At 39.0% G+C, this 13,582-nt stretch overlaps 1 long non-coding RNA gene across 2 annotated transcripts in view; it reads right to left on the minus strand.

The window, feature by feature from the left end:
• Positions 1-7,255: 7,255 nt before the first annotated feature.
• Positions 7,256-13,582, minus strand: part of LOC105370832 (uncharacterized) — a 126,090-nt gene continuing 119,763 nt past the window's right edge. The window contains exons 1-4 of one of the 2 annotated variants that reach the window (XR_001751770.2): positions 11,452-11,653; positions 11,100-11,299; positions 8,325-8,733; positions 7,256-7,398 (exon numbers count right to left, since the gene is read on the minus strand). This is a non-coding gene — a long non-coding RNA (uncharacterized LOC105370832). Of the gene's footprint in view, positions 7,399-8,324; positions 8,734-11,099; positions 11,300-11,451; positions 11,654-13,582 lie in introns of those variants that run through there. The other variant, XR_007064649.1, reaches the window with a different exon arrangement.

Consider the following 13,582-nt stretch of genomic DNA (forward strand, 5'->3'; position numbering starts at 1 on the left):
TGTCAAAAGCCCTGGCTCTCATATCCTGGCATTGGCCAGGAGTACTTAGGGGATAGCATGGTCTCAGCATGGACGCAGCAGCAAATCTGAATGTGTAGCATCTGGAGGTTCAGGGAGGAGCACCTTCCTTGCAGCAGGTTCCCCTAAGGACAATTCTGAGCAGGGCACTTCCATGGCTGCCACACTGACATATGGCATACCACCATGCTTCCCACACTGATAGTGGCTCTCATTTCCTCTGATCTTCTCATACATCATATTTGTTATTATTGCTGCCTCACTGAGCTCTTCTCTAAAAATACTCTACATGCTAGATTTTCTGCCCACATCTTGGAATCAGACACATAGAATCCTTGAGGGATGGCATGGCCTGCAAGTACCACCTGGATTAGACATCACTCACACGGTCAAACTGCAATCCCTGTTTCCCAACATCCCACTTAAGGCAAAACACCTACTGCATCTCCTTCCCAGAGTTCGCCTGCTAAGTATGCAAATTAGGACACAGTTCTTCCCCACTCCCTTTTTACAACTGTTACTGCATAAAGAGTATGGAAAATGTTTCAAATTTTAAAAACTGAGGCTTGAAAACCCTTACAAGAAAACATTCGTGAGATGAATGTCCAGGTATTTTATAAAAGACTATAACAAAAGAACCATCTGTGTTCAAATAGTATGTCATGATCAGAAACACAGAAACTCATACAAGCTTTAAGGATGCAATACTGAATCAATTTATAGGGTACGGTGGCAAGAATAGACAGTATCTTTGACCTTGAACAAGTCATTTAACCTCCCTGATGTCTATTTCCTCTTCTATAAAATGAAGAGGATAGGGTAGAATATCCTTGAGGCCTCATGTAGCACTAACATTCTGTGAAATAAAAGTCAACTTAGAGATTAATTGGGTTTCTGAGCCTCAAGCAATTAATTACACTGTCGCTGCCCTTTAACAGACCTGTCATAGAAGAAAATTAGATTAAACTGACAGATTTTAATCTTCACCAACTCATGTTGATTTTAAGTCCAACATTATTTTTTAAGATTGCAAATTAATGCTTTCACAAAAGGTTCAAAAGCTTTCAGGCCAAGAAATTTGACCTGATAGACACATTGTAATACTTAAACCATTCTTTTCTATTTAAAAAAAGTTGTACTGACTTCCCCCCACCGCCCCCCTCCCCCCTAGTATTCAGAACCTCAGCAGGCACTCTGCTAGAGTTTTATGAAATGACAGTGGTTTTAGGAAGTTCTTCACCAATTTCTGAAATTCTCAAGGATATCTGTGATCAGGGAATTTAATTCTGCCCACGTCTACTTTATCTAATTCCATTATGTTCTCTTTATTTTTCTTTGGCTTTCTGCCTGCCTTCCCTTCCCTTGCCTTTACCTGTACTTGGGTCAACATTGAATTATTAATAGAAAGACATGTTGGTTTATTTTCTAGCAAATTTTTTAGTAAAAAAAAATCAGTTTGGATTTCCAGTTAATAGAGAAGTATCTCATCATATCCTCCCTTTTTTTTTTCTTTTTTTTTTTGAGATGGAGTTGTTGCCCAGGCTGGAGTGCAGTGGCGTGATCTAGGCTCACTGCAACCTCCACCTCCCAGGTCAAGTGATTCTCCTGCCTCAGCCTCCCGAGTAGCTGGGACTACAGGCACCTGCCACCATGCCCAGCTAATTTTTGTGTTTTTTGGTAGAGATGTGGTTTCACCATGTTGGCCAGGCTGGTCACGACCTCCTTACGACAAGTGATCTGCCTGCCTTGGCCTCCCAAAGTGCTGGGATTACAGGCATGAGCCACCATGCCCAGCCCATGCACTCCTTTTAATGCTTATGTATTTAAGCAGTACTGATATTTTCTATGTTTCTCTTAAATATTATAGTTCATATCTACTTTAGATTTAAAAATTAAATCTCAAAAGTTCTAGTTTATTGAACTTTGATTTCCAATATCCAGTTTCTACTTCTGTGTCATGTTTATTTGCACCAATAATATCTCTGACATACAGAAAGGTGAGAAGAATAATATAAACACCCATGTATCCATAATCTGACACAAGAAAAAATGTGGAACCTGGCTCTGTGCATCAGAGCACCTCTCCTGTCTCATTTCTTCCACCCAGAGATAACATTGTACTGTATTTAATAGTGTTTATCATTCTTGTGCATGCCTTTATACTTTCAACTTGTAAGAGATATGTGATACTATTTTGCATGCTGTAATAAGATGGAGTCATATTTCTGCAAATCTCTTTAGACACCATGTTTGTGAGAATATTCCACTGTAGTACATGTACATCTACTTTGTCTTTGACAAGCTATGACTTATATTTTTACTTTCTCTAAAATGTCTATTAATGCACAGAAACTTTAAATTTAATATAGTCAAATTTATCATTTTATGTTTTCTGCTTTTTGCCTTCAGTAATCATTTACTAATCTCAGATCATAAAGCTTTTCATAATACACCTTTAATTCACCTGGGATTTATTTTGGATAATGTGAGGTAGGTGTCCAATTTTATTACTCTTTTGTCCATATGGATAACAAGGTCCCTGCACCACTATCTCTCCCTATTAATCTATAATGTACTGATTTCATACTGTTTTAATTATGATCTGTTTATAATAATACTTGCTACCTTGTAGAGCAAGACCTTAATTTGTTCTTCTGAACATTTTTGGCTATTCTTTGCCCTCTATTCTTCTATATAAATTTTGATTTTCCTTGTCAAGTTTCATGGAAAAAACTGTTGAGAACTTTATTGGAATTTAATTGAATTTATGTATCAACTTTTAAAAAGCCAAACAATTTAAATTCTATTCATGTACACGGTGCATCTTTATTTTGTCTTTTAAAAATGTCTTTTAAGTTTTATAATTTTCTCTATAAAGATTTCATGCTTTTTTGTTAGATTTATTCCTAGATATTTTAAATTATTTGTTGCTGTCATAAATAATATCTATATTATTATTTGGGGTCGAAACAGGAAACAGTACCCTCAAAGTGAGTCATTTAAAAAGATGCAGACGAGGTTTAAGGAGATCAGCAGGAATTGTACAGTACCCAGGAGCCAGTAACTTTGGGGAAATATCACTACTCCTGAGTCTAAGGGAAAGGGGAGAAGGCACTTTTCTAGAGCCCAAAGATAGAAAGAGCTATGTGAAGAGACCCCTTTGATGGCAGCTGTGAACTTTGGTCAAAGGATGCAGCTCACCAAGAACAACCTCAGAGGGACAGTTGAGGCAACACAAACCTCATCTTCTTTTCTTCCTTCATTGGATCTTCTGATGATGCAACCACAAGCTAAACCCAATGAGAGCTCAAAGAGCAAGACAGACAGTTAGTTGCCAGCCAGTCTTCCAAGGCACCACCAGTGTAGAGAAGGGTGGAGGGAAATCTGGAGGGGCAAGTAGATGTCCACCACTGTATCTTTTTCAAACTTAAGTTTCTGTTTTTGCTGGTGTCTTGAGAATGCAAATGATTTCTGTATGTCAACTTTATATCCGCTAATCTTGCTGAACTTCATTTTAAGTTCTAATCATTTATCTGTAAACTGGCTTGAGTTTTTTTTTTAATATACTTTTAAGTTTTAGGGTACATGTGCACAACATGCAGGTTAGTTACATATGTATACATGTGCCATGTTGGTGTGCTGCACCCATTAACTCGTCATTTAACATTAGGTATATCTCCTAATGCTCTCCCTCCCCCCTCCCCCCACCCCACAACAGGCCCTGGTGTGTGATGTTCCCCTTCCTGTGTCCATGTGTTCTCATTGTTCAATTCTCACCTATGAGTGAGAACATGTGGTGTTTCGTTTTTTGTCCTTGCGATAGTTTCCTGAGAATGATGGTTTCCAGCTTCATCCATGTGCCTACAAAGGACATGAACTCATCATTTTTTATGGCTGCATAGTATTCCATGGTGTATATGTGCCACATTTTCTTAATCCAGTCTATCATTGTTGGACATTTGGGTTGGTTCCAAGTCTTTGCTATTGTGAATAGTGCCACAATAAACATACGTGTGCATGTGTCTTTATAGCAGCATGATTTATAATCCTTTGGGTATATACCCAGTAATGGGATGGCTGGGTCAAATGGTATTTCTAGTTCTAGATCCCTGAGAAATCACCACACTGACTTCCACAATGGTTGAACTAGTTTACAGTCCCACCGACAGTGTAAAAGTGTTCCTGTTTCTCCACATCCTCTCCAGCACCTGTTGTTTCCTGACTTTTTAATGATTGCCATTCTAACTGGTGTGAGATGGTATCTCATTGTGGTTTTGATTTGCATTTCTCTGACGGCCAGTGATGATGAGCATTTTTTCACGTGTCTTTTGTCTGCATCAATGTCTTCTTTTGAGAAGTGTCTGTTCATATCCTTTGCCCACTTGTTGATGGGGTTGTTTGTTTTTTTCTTGTAAATTTGTTTGAGTTCATTGTAGACTCTGGATATTAGCCCTTTGTCAGATGAGTAGATTGCAAAATTTTTCTCCCATTCTGTAGGTTGCCTGGTCACTCTGATGGTAGTTTCTTTTGCTGTGCAGAAGCTCTTTAGTTTAATTAGATCCCATTTGTCAATTTTGGCTTTTGTTGCCATTGCTTTTGGTGTTTTAGACATGAAGTCCTTGCCCATGCCTATGTCCTGAATGGTATTGTCTAGGTTTTCTTCTAGGGTTTTTATGGTTTTAGGTCTAACATTTAAGTCTTTAATCCATCTTGAATTAATTTTTGTATAAGGTGTAAGGAAGGGATCCAGTTTCAGCTTTCTACATACAGTTAGCCAGTTTTCCCAGTACCATTTATTAAATAGGGAATCGTTTCCCCATTTCTTTTTTTTTCAGGTTTGTCAAAGATCAGATGGTTGTAGATATGCGGCATTATTTCTGAGGGCTCTGTTCTGCTTGAGTTTTTTATTATTGTCCTTTTCCTTCCTCTTACTCCATTTTAAGTTTTTTTCTTCCCTCATTGGGCTAGCTGGAACCTATAAGAAAATGATAAATAGAAGAATTAATAGGTGTATTTTTGACTTATATGTTTGACATCTCATTATGAAGTATGATGTTTGCTGTAGTTTTGTTTTTTCTTTTATTATTGAAAAGCAATATATGTGCATTGTGGAAAGTTAGGCTATATAGATACCTAAATATTTTTAAAAATGCTATGTTTCTATCACTCAGAGATTACAGTTAACACCTTAGAGAGTTACAGTATATACATATATATTTACTTTTTAATGAAAGGAGATCATACTGTACATGTAGTAGTATAAAGGTTGCATGCTATAAACTGCTTTTCATGCTGTAGGTGTTTTATTCCCCGTTTCCCCATATTTATGAAGAGTTTTCATCCTAAATGGGAATTCAATTTTTTAATACCTTAAAATGACACAACTTGATTATCTTACAGTTCTGTAGCTCAGGAGTCAAACCTAGACCTTATTAGGCAAAGATTAAGGTATTGGCAGGGTGCGTCTGTTTCTGAAAGCTCTAAGATAGAGCCACTTTCTTGCCTTGGGAATTTAACTTTATCAATTTATTTTATTCAGAGGTCTTACTCATAGGTTTTACTCATTAATAAATTAATCTCCACTGCAATAATTCTAATAATATTCTTAGTTATTTTGGGGGATGGGGAGTAGGCTTGTAATCTGGAAAGAAAGTTTTCTAGCTCAATTTACCTTGAGCATGTTGATTCTAAAATATACTATATTAAAGTAGAAATACATTTATCTTTCTTATAATTTTTATTTTTCCTTAATCAGATTAAACAAAGTGTATTGTATTTGATAAGTTCATTATATAAAACTCTCAAATGTCTAATTTTGCTGTTAGATTTTTCTGCCAACACTCACAGTTGATGGTTATTTCCTCTAGATTTTGTAATTTTAGATTGTGAGCTCATTTTTAGAGAAGCTTTATTTAGAGAGCACTGTGAGGCTATGATGCAGATATAGCCCCCAGGAGGATTTGTTGTTGTTGTTCCAGGACGCAACTATGTAACTAACCCAGGGCCACTTTTCAAATGCCTGTTTATTGGCTTGATCTTTTTCTTGCTGTTTGTTTGAGATATCTGAGACAATTAGTAGATGGAGAAAAAGCAGAAAAAATATGAGAATGTCATCAGTGTGGGCAGCAGTTATTTCACATTTTAAATAAACCTGAAATAGCAAACATAATCTGGTTAGCATATGTGAATTTTGTACAAAAATAGTTTCTGTGCATGGCCCCTTCATCAATTTCTTTTTAAAAAAACACATGCATCATATGATCTTTGGAAGAGGGAACTGGCTGGATATCACTAGCATAACACAGTGGTTCTCAAACCAGAAACATCTGTGGAACTTTAGGTAAAACTACACCTGCCACATGCAAAAGACTGAAGTTGGACCCTTACCTTACAGTACCATATACAAAAATTTACTCAAAATGGATCAAATAGCTAAACATAACAGCTAAAAGTATAAAACTCTTAGAAGAAAATATAGGGTAAAGATTAATGACATTTAGTTCGGCAATGATTTCTTGGATATTACACCAAAATGGAAGTCAACAAAAGAAAAAATAGATCCGTTACATCAAATATTAAAATTTCTGTATACCAAAAGACATAGTCAACAGAGTAAAAGGCAACCTACTGTATGGGAGAAAATATTTACAAATGATATATCTAATAAGGGGTTATCAGAATATATAAAGAACGTTTGCAGCTCAACAACAAAAAGAGAAACAACTGATGGAAAAAAATGGGTAAAAGGCTTCTATAGACATTTTTCCAGAGAAGACACGGTGGTCAAAAAGCACATGGAAAGATGCTCAGAATCATTAGGAAAATGCGAATCAAAAGTACAATGAGATACTATCACTTACTGATTAGAATGACTATTATAAAAAACAAAATAACAAGCATAGATGAGGAAGTGGAGAAATTGGAACACTTTTGCACTGTTAGGAATGTAAAATGGCACAGCCACTGTGGAAAACTACATGATAACTCCTTAAAAACTTAAGCATAATTTTCATATGATCCAGTGATTCTACTTCTGGGTATACACTCAAAAGTACTGAAAGCAGAGATTCAAAGAGATACTTGTATACCTACGTTCATAGTAGCATTATTCACAATAGCCAAAAGGTAGAAACAACCCAAGTGTATATAGACAATAAATAGAAGTACACACACACACACGCACACACAGAGGAATATTATTCTGCTTTTAAAAGAAAGGAAATTCTGACACATGCTATAACATGGATGAACCTTAATGACATGAAAATAAGTGAAATAAGCCAGTCACAAAAAGACAAATACGTCATGATTCCACTTACGTGAGGCACTTATGGCAGCCAAATCCGTAGAGACATAGAGTAAAATGGTGGTTGCCTGAAGCTGTGGTAGAGTAAGGACGGGGGAATTATTTATTTATTTATTTATTTATTTATTTATTTATTTATTTTTATTTTATTTATTTATTTATTTTTGAGACGGAGTCTTGCTCTGTCGCCCAGGCTGGAGTGCAGTGACGCGATCTCGGCTCACTGTAAGCTCCGCCTCCCGGGTTCACACCATTCTCCTGCCTCAGCCTCCCGAGTAGCTGGGACTACAGGCGCTGGCCACCACGCCCGGCTTTTTTTTTTTTTTTTTTTTTTTTAGTAGGGACAGGGTTTCACCATGTTGGCTAAGGTGGTCTCGATCTCCTGACCTCGTGATCCGCACGCCTGGGCCTTCCGAAGTGCTGGGATTTACAGGCGTGAGCCACTGCGCCCGGCCAGGAACCCATTATTGTTTAATGGGTTGCAGAGTTTCAGTTTTTCAAGATGAAAAGAGTTCTGGAGATGGACAATGGTGATGGCTGCACAGCAATGTGAACGTACTTGATGCCACTGAACTGTACACTTAAAATGGTGGTTGAGGCCGGGCATGGTGGCTCACACCTGTAATCCCAGCACTTTGGGAGGCCGAGGTGGGCAAATTACGAGGTCAGGAAATCGAGACCATCCTGGCTAACACGGTGAAACCCCGTCTCTACTAAAAATACAAAAAATTAGCCGGGCATGGTGGTGAGCGCCTGTAGTCCCAGCTACACGGGAGGCTGAGGCAGGAGAATGGCGTGAACCCGGAAGGCAGAGCTTGCCGTGAGCCGAGATCGCGCCACTGCACTCCAACCTGGGCGACAGAACGAGACTCTGTCTCAAAAATGAATAAATAAATAAATAAAATTAAAATTAAAATTAAAAAAGTTGGTTAAAATTTTATGTCTTTATTTTACTTCTTTTTTTTTTTTTGAAATGTGCTCATGATGCAGCCCTACTTACCAGTCTTATTCAGAAAGTGGATCCCTGGCATTTCTCTTTCATGGTAAAAACCACAGTAAATTATCTGAGATTCATTAAGTAAAAGGAAGTAACAAAGTTGGAAGAAAAAAATAGAAGAATGAAATATCAATATATAAAATACCTAAGAAACCTTGATTAGTTTCAGTTTCTACTGGATGCTAAACTTTCCTGATACTTTCAGTAAAACCTTTATTTTATATCTTAGAAATGATTCCCATTTGCAGCAGGCAACTTACCATTGCCTTCACAAGTGTAGTTACGATGTCAGAGCGGCAATCACCTTCATTTTAACTTCCCTCTTCCCTCTGACCATTCTTTGCATCTTGCCTATCTTGTGTTTCTTTTTAGAGAAATAAAGCTTCACTCAAATTTTGTTAAAGCTTGACAGCTGGGGAAAAACATCCACGAGTTATATCATTTGTTCAGGCTGAATTTATAACTATATAAATGTTCTTTCTTCTTACAAGGAAATTATCTTACTGGTAATCACATTGCCCTTGGAGTCATTGTCTCCACCGTATTATGATGATATTTTACCATCAATCAACAAATGTGTCAAGTAGATACATGATACGATATCACAGACCATGGAAATTTTACCAAAACACCATGGAGATGTGGTCCCAAGGCTAAGGTAGCATAGAGTTGAGTTCATGCAGACATATAAATATGAAATAAAAAAAATTTTAATATATTTGCCTATTAGCCTTCTTTTAAAAATCATTTTCCTTTTACCTCCACTCAGAACACCTATCTACTATTAACTGGCACATAGTGGGCATTCAATATTTGTTGAATGAATAAATATGGAGCAAATTCTATTAGGAAAAGCAATATTATGTGTAAGAAACACTTCTCTAAAATAAAAAAAAAAAACCCACAGGAATTTCTAGCATAGAAATCTAATATACCCAAATAAAGCACCTAGAACATGGAAAAGGAGGACTAGAAATGTATTAGGCTTCAGAAAGACCCATTCCTCCTGCCCAGTTAATTATAGCTTAGCAGAATAGGGACTTACGGCTAGCAAATCAAAATTTGAAAGCATGTTTCAGGGTTTAACAAATAAGTAAAATATTATTTATATAATTAATGCTCTCTTATGAGAAAAGCAGGCTATGAGTTTAGTGAGTTGACATTTTGTTCTGCTCAGCTGGGGAAGGCTTTCTGGTGTAGAAAAGCCAAATTTCTTAAGTGATTCGTATGTTCTATGGTTGATAAAAATAACTATCATTGGACTTTTTTTTTTTTTTTTTTTTTTTGAGATGGAGTCTCGCTCTGTCGCCCAGGCTGGAGTGCAGTGGTGCAATATCGGGTCACTGCAACCTCCGCCTCCCGAATTCAAGTGATTCACCTGCCTCAGCCTCCCAAGCAGCTGGAACTATAGGCGTGTGCCACCACGCCAGGCTAATTTTTTGTATTTTCAGTTGAGACAGGGTTTCACAGCGTTAGCCAGGATGGTATTGACCTCCTGAACTCGTGAGCTGCCCACCTCGGCCTCCCAAAGTGCTGAGATTACAGGCGTGAGCCACCGCATCCGGCCGTATCCCTGGACTTTTTTTTTTTTTTTTTTTTTTTTTTTTTTTTTTTTTTGAGACGGAGTCTCTCTCTGTCCCCCAGGCTGGAGTGCAATGGCGCGATCTCGGCTCACTGCAAGCTCCGCCTCCCGGGTTCACGCCATTCTCCTGCCTCAGCCTCCCGAGTAGCTGGGACTACAGGCGCCCGCCACCACGCCCGGTTAATTTTTTTTTGTGTGTATTTTTTAGTAGAGACGGGGTTTCACCGTGTTAGCCAGGATGGTCTCCATCTCTTGACCTCGTGATCCACCCGCCTCGGCCTCCCAAAGTGCTGGGATTACAGGCTTGAGCCACCGCGCCCGGCCTCCCTGGACTTTTATTGACAGCAATAGCTGCCCCCAATTTAACAGTTAATACTGCCTTTGCTACCAATAAGCTGTCTAATCCTGTGCCCTCAGTTACATCTAACTTTAATGAGGGAATTATTTCACCGATTTAAACTCTGCATGAAAACGATTCTTCTTTATTAGTATTTTATTTACTTAATTTTATGCATACAAAATATTTTCAGCTTAACCAGACCAGGGTGCTCTACTCTTTGCCCCAGAAATTGTCCAAGTGATCCTTATACCTGTAAACTGAATCCTAGCAAATAATAATAATAATACCTAATATGTACTTGTTTCATTATGTACTATTAGCACTTCACATCTGTTATCTACTTTAACCCTTTTAACAACTCCAGGAATAAGTACTATGATTACTGCTATTTTAGAGGGGAAAAGAGAAAGACCCTGAGCAGCTAATCTTGGATGCCTAAGATAATTCAGCTATGAAGTGATGAGGCCAGGATTTGAGAATCCACATGCTGAGCCACTGAACCACATTACCATCCAGGCAAATACTGAGAGCCTCCTCAGCAGTAAACTGAAGTTGTGAACAATCAGATAAACTCTCCTCTCACAATTCCCAGATGCTGGGAGTGGTGCAGTGAGAGGGAGTTGGGTATAAGAAATACCTGGTACCAACTACAAGCTCCAGAATTATAATTTCAGACTAGTAGAACATATGTAATAAAAATCTATGATTTGCCAAATGCTTGCTCAGACATATGCAGAATTTGCTAATTATAACATCCTTGCCCTTTCATGGCCATATTTTTGCAGAAAGATGAAGAAGCTAAGGTGTAATTTAGTTTTATTTCAGAGACTAAACTTGCCAGGGTGAAAAAACATACCAGAAAGAGGGTCCTTTTCCTAGTATCCACTGGGCAGGCCTGAGCAATAAAGGCCACAATCATGTGTCCTCATGGCCTCACTTACATGACAAGAATCCACTTTTTCCTCATATGGGCTGCCTCAGTTTTATTTTCCACCTCTGAGCCACAGAACACATTAATTCTCAATTACACTTACTCAGTGCTGCAATCTGTAGTCCCTACATGGACAAAACAGTAATGGGAAACACAAATAATTAGTTCTTCCAACACCATCCAACCTGAGGAGTTTATATGGTTTGTTTATTTTAAAGAAAAGTCCTGGGAATTGGATTCAAATGAATCTGTAGAATTAATGAGAGTCGAATCTTACCTTTCTCATGAAGCAGAATGACCATTGCAGATAGTTAAGACGCAATCCCAGGACCTGGTGCATGATGTAAATCCCTCATAGGATGTTAAATAAGAACAATAATGTCAGTAACAACAAAACAACACTCTTATCTACATATGGTAACACCTATTAGAGGTAGAAAAGTGAAAGTATTTTAGAAGTACAGGCCGGGCACGGTGGCTCACGCCTGTAATCCCAGCACTTTGGGAGGCCAAGGCAGGCGGATCATGAGGTCAGGAGATTGAGACCATCCTGGCTAACACAGTGAAACCCTGTCTCTAGTAAAAATACAAAAAAAATTAGCCGGGCGTGGTGGCGGGCGCGTGTAGTCCCAGCTACTCACGAGGCTGAGGCGGGAGAATGGCGTGAACCCGGAAGGCAGAGGTTGCAGTGAGCCAAGATCGCGCCACTGCACTCCAGCTTGGGGGACAAAGCGAGACTCTACCTCAAAAAAAAAAAAAAAAAGAAGTACACTAACAAGAAAAGAATCCTTTGCAGCAAAGCCAGCTCACTGGAGACTCTTAGTACATAATTTTATCCAACTGCCTTGCAATAGACACCCAGAATAATGTTATTAATAGCAACCAAAAAATGACATCAATTTGAAAACACTAGGTTTAATGGATGCTGTCTTCAGGTCTGAGGACTTATTTTCCTAGATGCTGGGAGTGCTGCCAGTAGACAGCCCTGAGCTGTCAGCCCTCTTCAGAAATTATCCTTGGTCACAGACCACTGTCACCCAGTATCAGCTTGCATCCATAAACGCCTAGCCTTCTCACTGTGAGGAGAGTCAACTCTGAAGGGTCATCTAGCTTTACAGCTCCTGAGGGAATAGCTGAGGCCTTTGCTGAGACTGCAGTAAACTCAGCTTTTCCTTCCATCCAGCCCTGCCTCCTTCCCTTCCACAAATGTTGATCCTACGAGCAGTCTCTGATATGGTTTGGCTGTGCCCTTACCCCAATATCATCTTGAATTGTAATTCCCAAAATCCCCACGTATGGTGGGAGGGAACTTGTGGGAGGTAAGTCAATCATGGGAGCAGTTTCCCTCATGCTATTCTCATGATATGTAATCTTTCATGAGATTACATATCATGATTACATATCATGAGATTACATATCATGATTACATATCATGAGATTACATATCATATTACATGATATCATGAGATTACATATCATGATATTACATATCATGAGAGAGTAATCTGTCATGAGATCTGATGGCTTTATAAGGGGCTTCCCCCTTCTCCTTCCTGCTGCCATGTGAAAGAGTAACTAATACAGCAAGTTGGTACTGTAGAGGGTGGTGTGCTTCTGTGAAGATACCCAAAAATGTGGAAGTGACTTTGGAACTGGGTAGCAGGCAGAGGTGGGAACAGTTTGGAGGGCTCAGAAGACAAGAAAATCTGGGAAAGTTTGGAACTTCCTAGAGATTTGTTGAATGATTTTGACCAAAATGCTGTCAGTGATGTAGATAATGAAGTCCAGGCTGAGGAGGTCTCAGATGGAGATGAGGAACTTCTTGCAAACTGAAATAAAGGCGACTCTTGCTACACAAAGAGACTGGCGGAATTTTGCACTTGCCCTGGAGATCTGTGGAACTTTGAACTTGAAAGAGATGATTTAGGGTAACTGGCAGAAGAAATTTCTAAGTGGCAAAGTGTTCAAGAGGAAGCAGAGCAAAAAAGTTTGGAAAATCTGCAGCCTGACAATGCAAAAGCAAAGAAAACCCCATTTTCCGAGGAGAAATTCAAGCCAGCTGCAGAAATTTGCATAAGTAATGAGGAGCTGAATGTTAATCACCAAGACAATGGGGAAAATGTCTCCAAGGCATGTCAGAGATCTTCACAGCAGCCCCTTGCATCACAGGCCTGAAGGCCTAGGAGGGAAAAATGGTTTTGTGGGCCGGGCCCAGGCACCCCCTGCTCTATGCAGCCTTGGGACATGGTGCTCTGCATCCCAGCGGATTCAGCTCCAGCTGGTGCTAAAAGGGGCCAATGTACAGCTCAGGCCATTGCTTCAGAGGGTGCAAGCCTCAAGCCTTAGAAGCTTACATGTGGTATTGGGCCTGCAGATGTACAGAAGTCAAGAATTAAGGTTTAGGAACC

This window comes from Homo sapiens, chromosome 15, assembly GCF_000001405.40.
Source record: "Homo sapiens chromosome 15, GRCh38.p14 Primary Assembly".
NCBI classification, from domain to species: domain Eukaryota; kingdom Metazoa; phylum Chordata; class Mammalia; order Primates; family Hominidae; genus Homo; species Homo sapiens.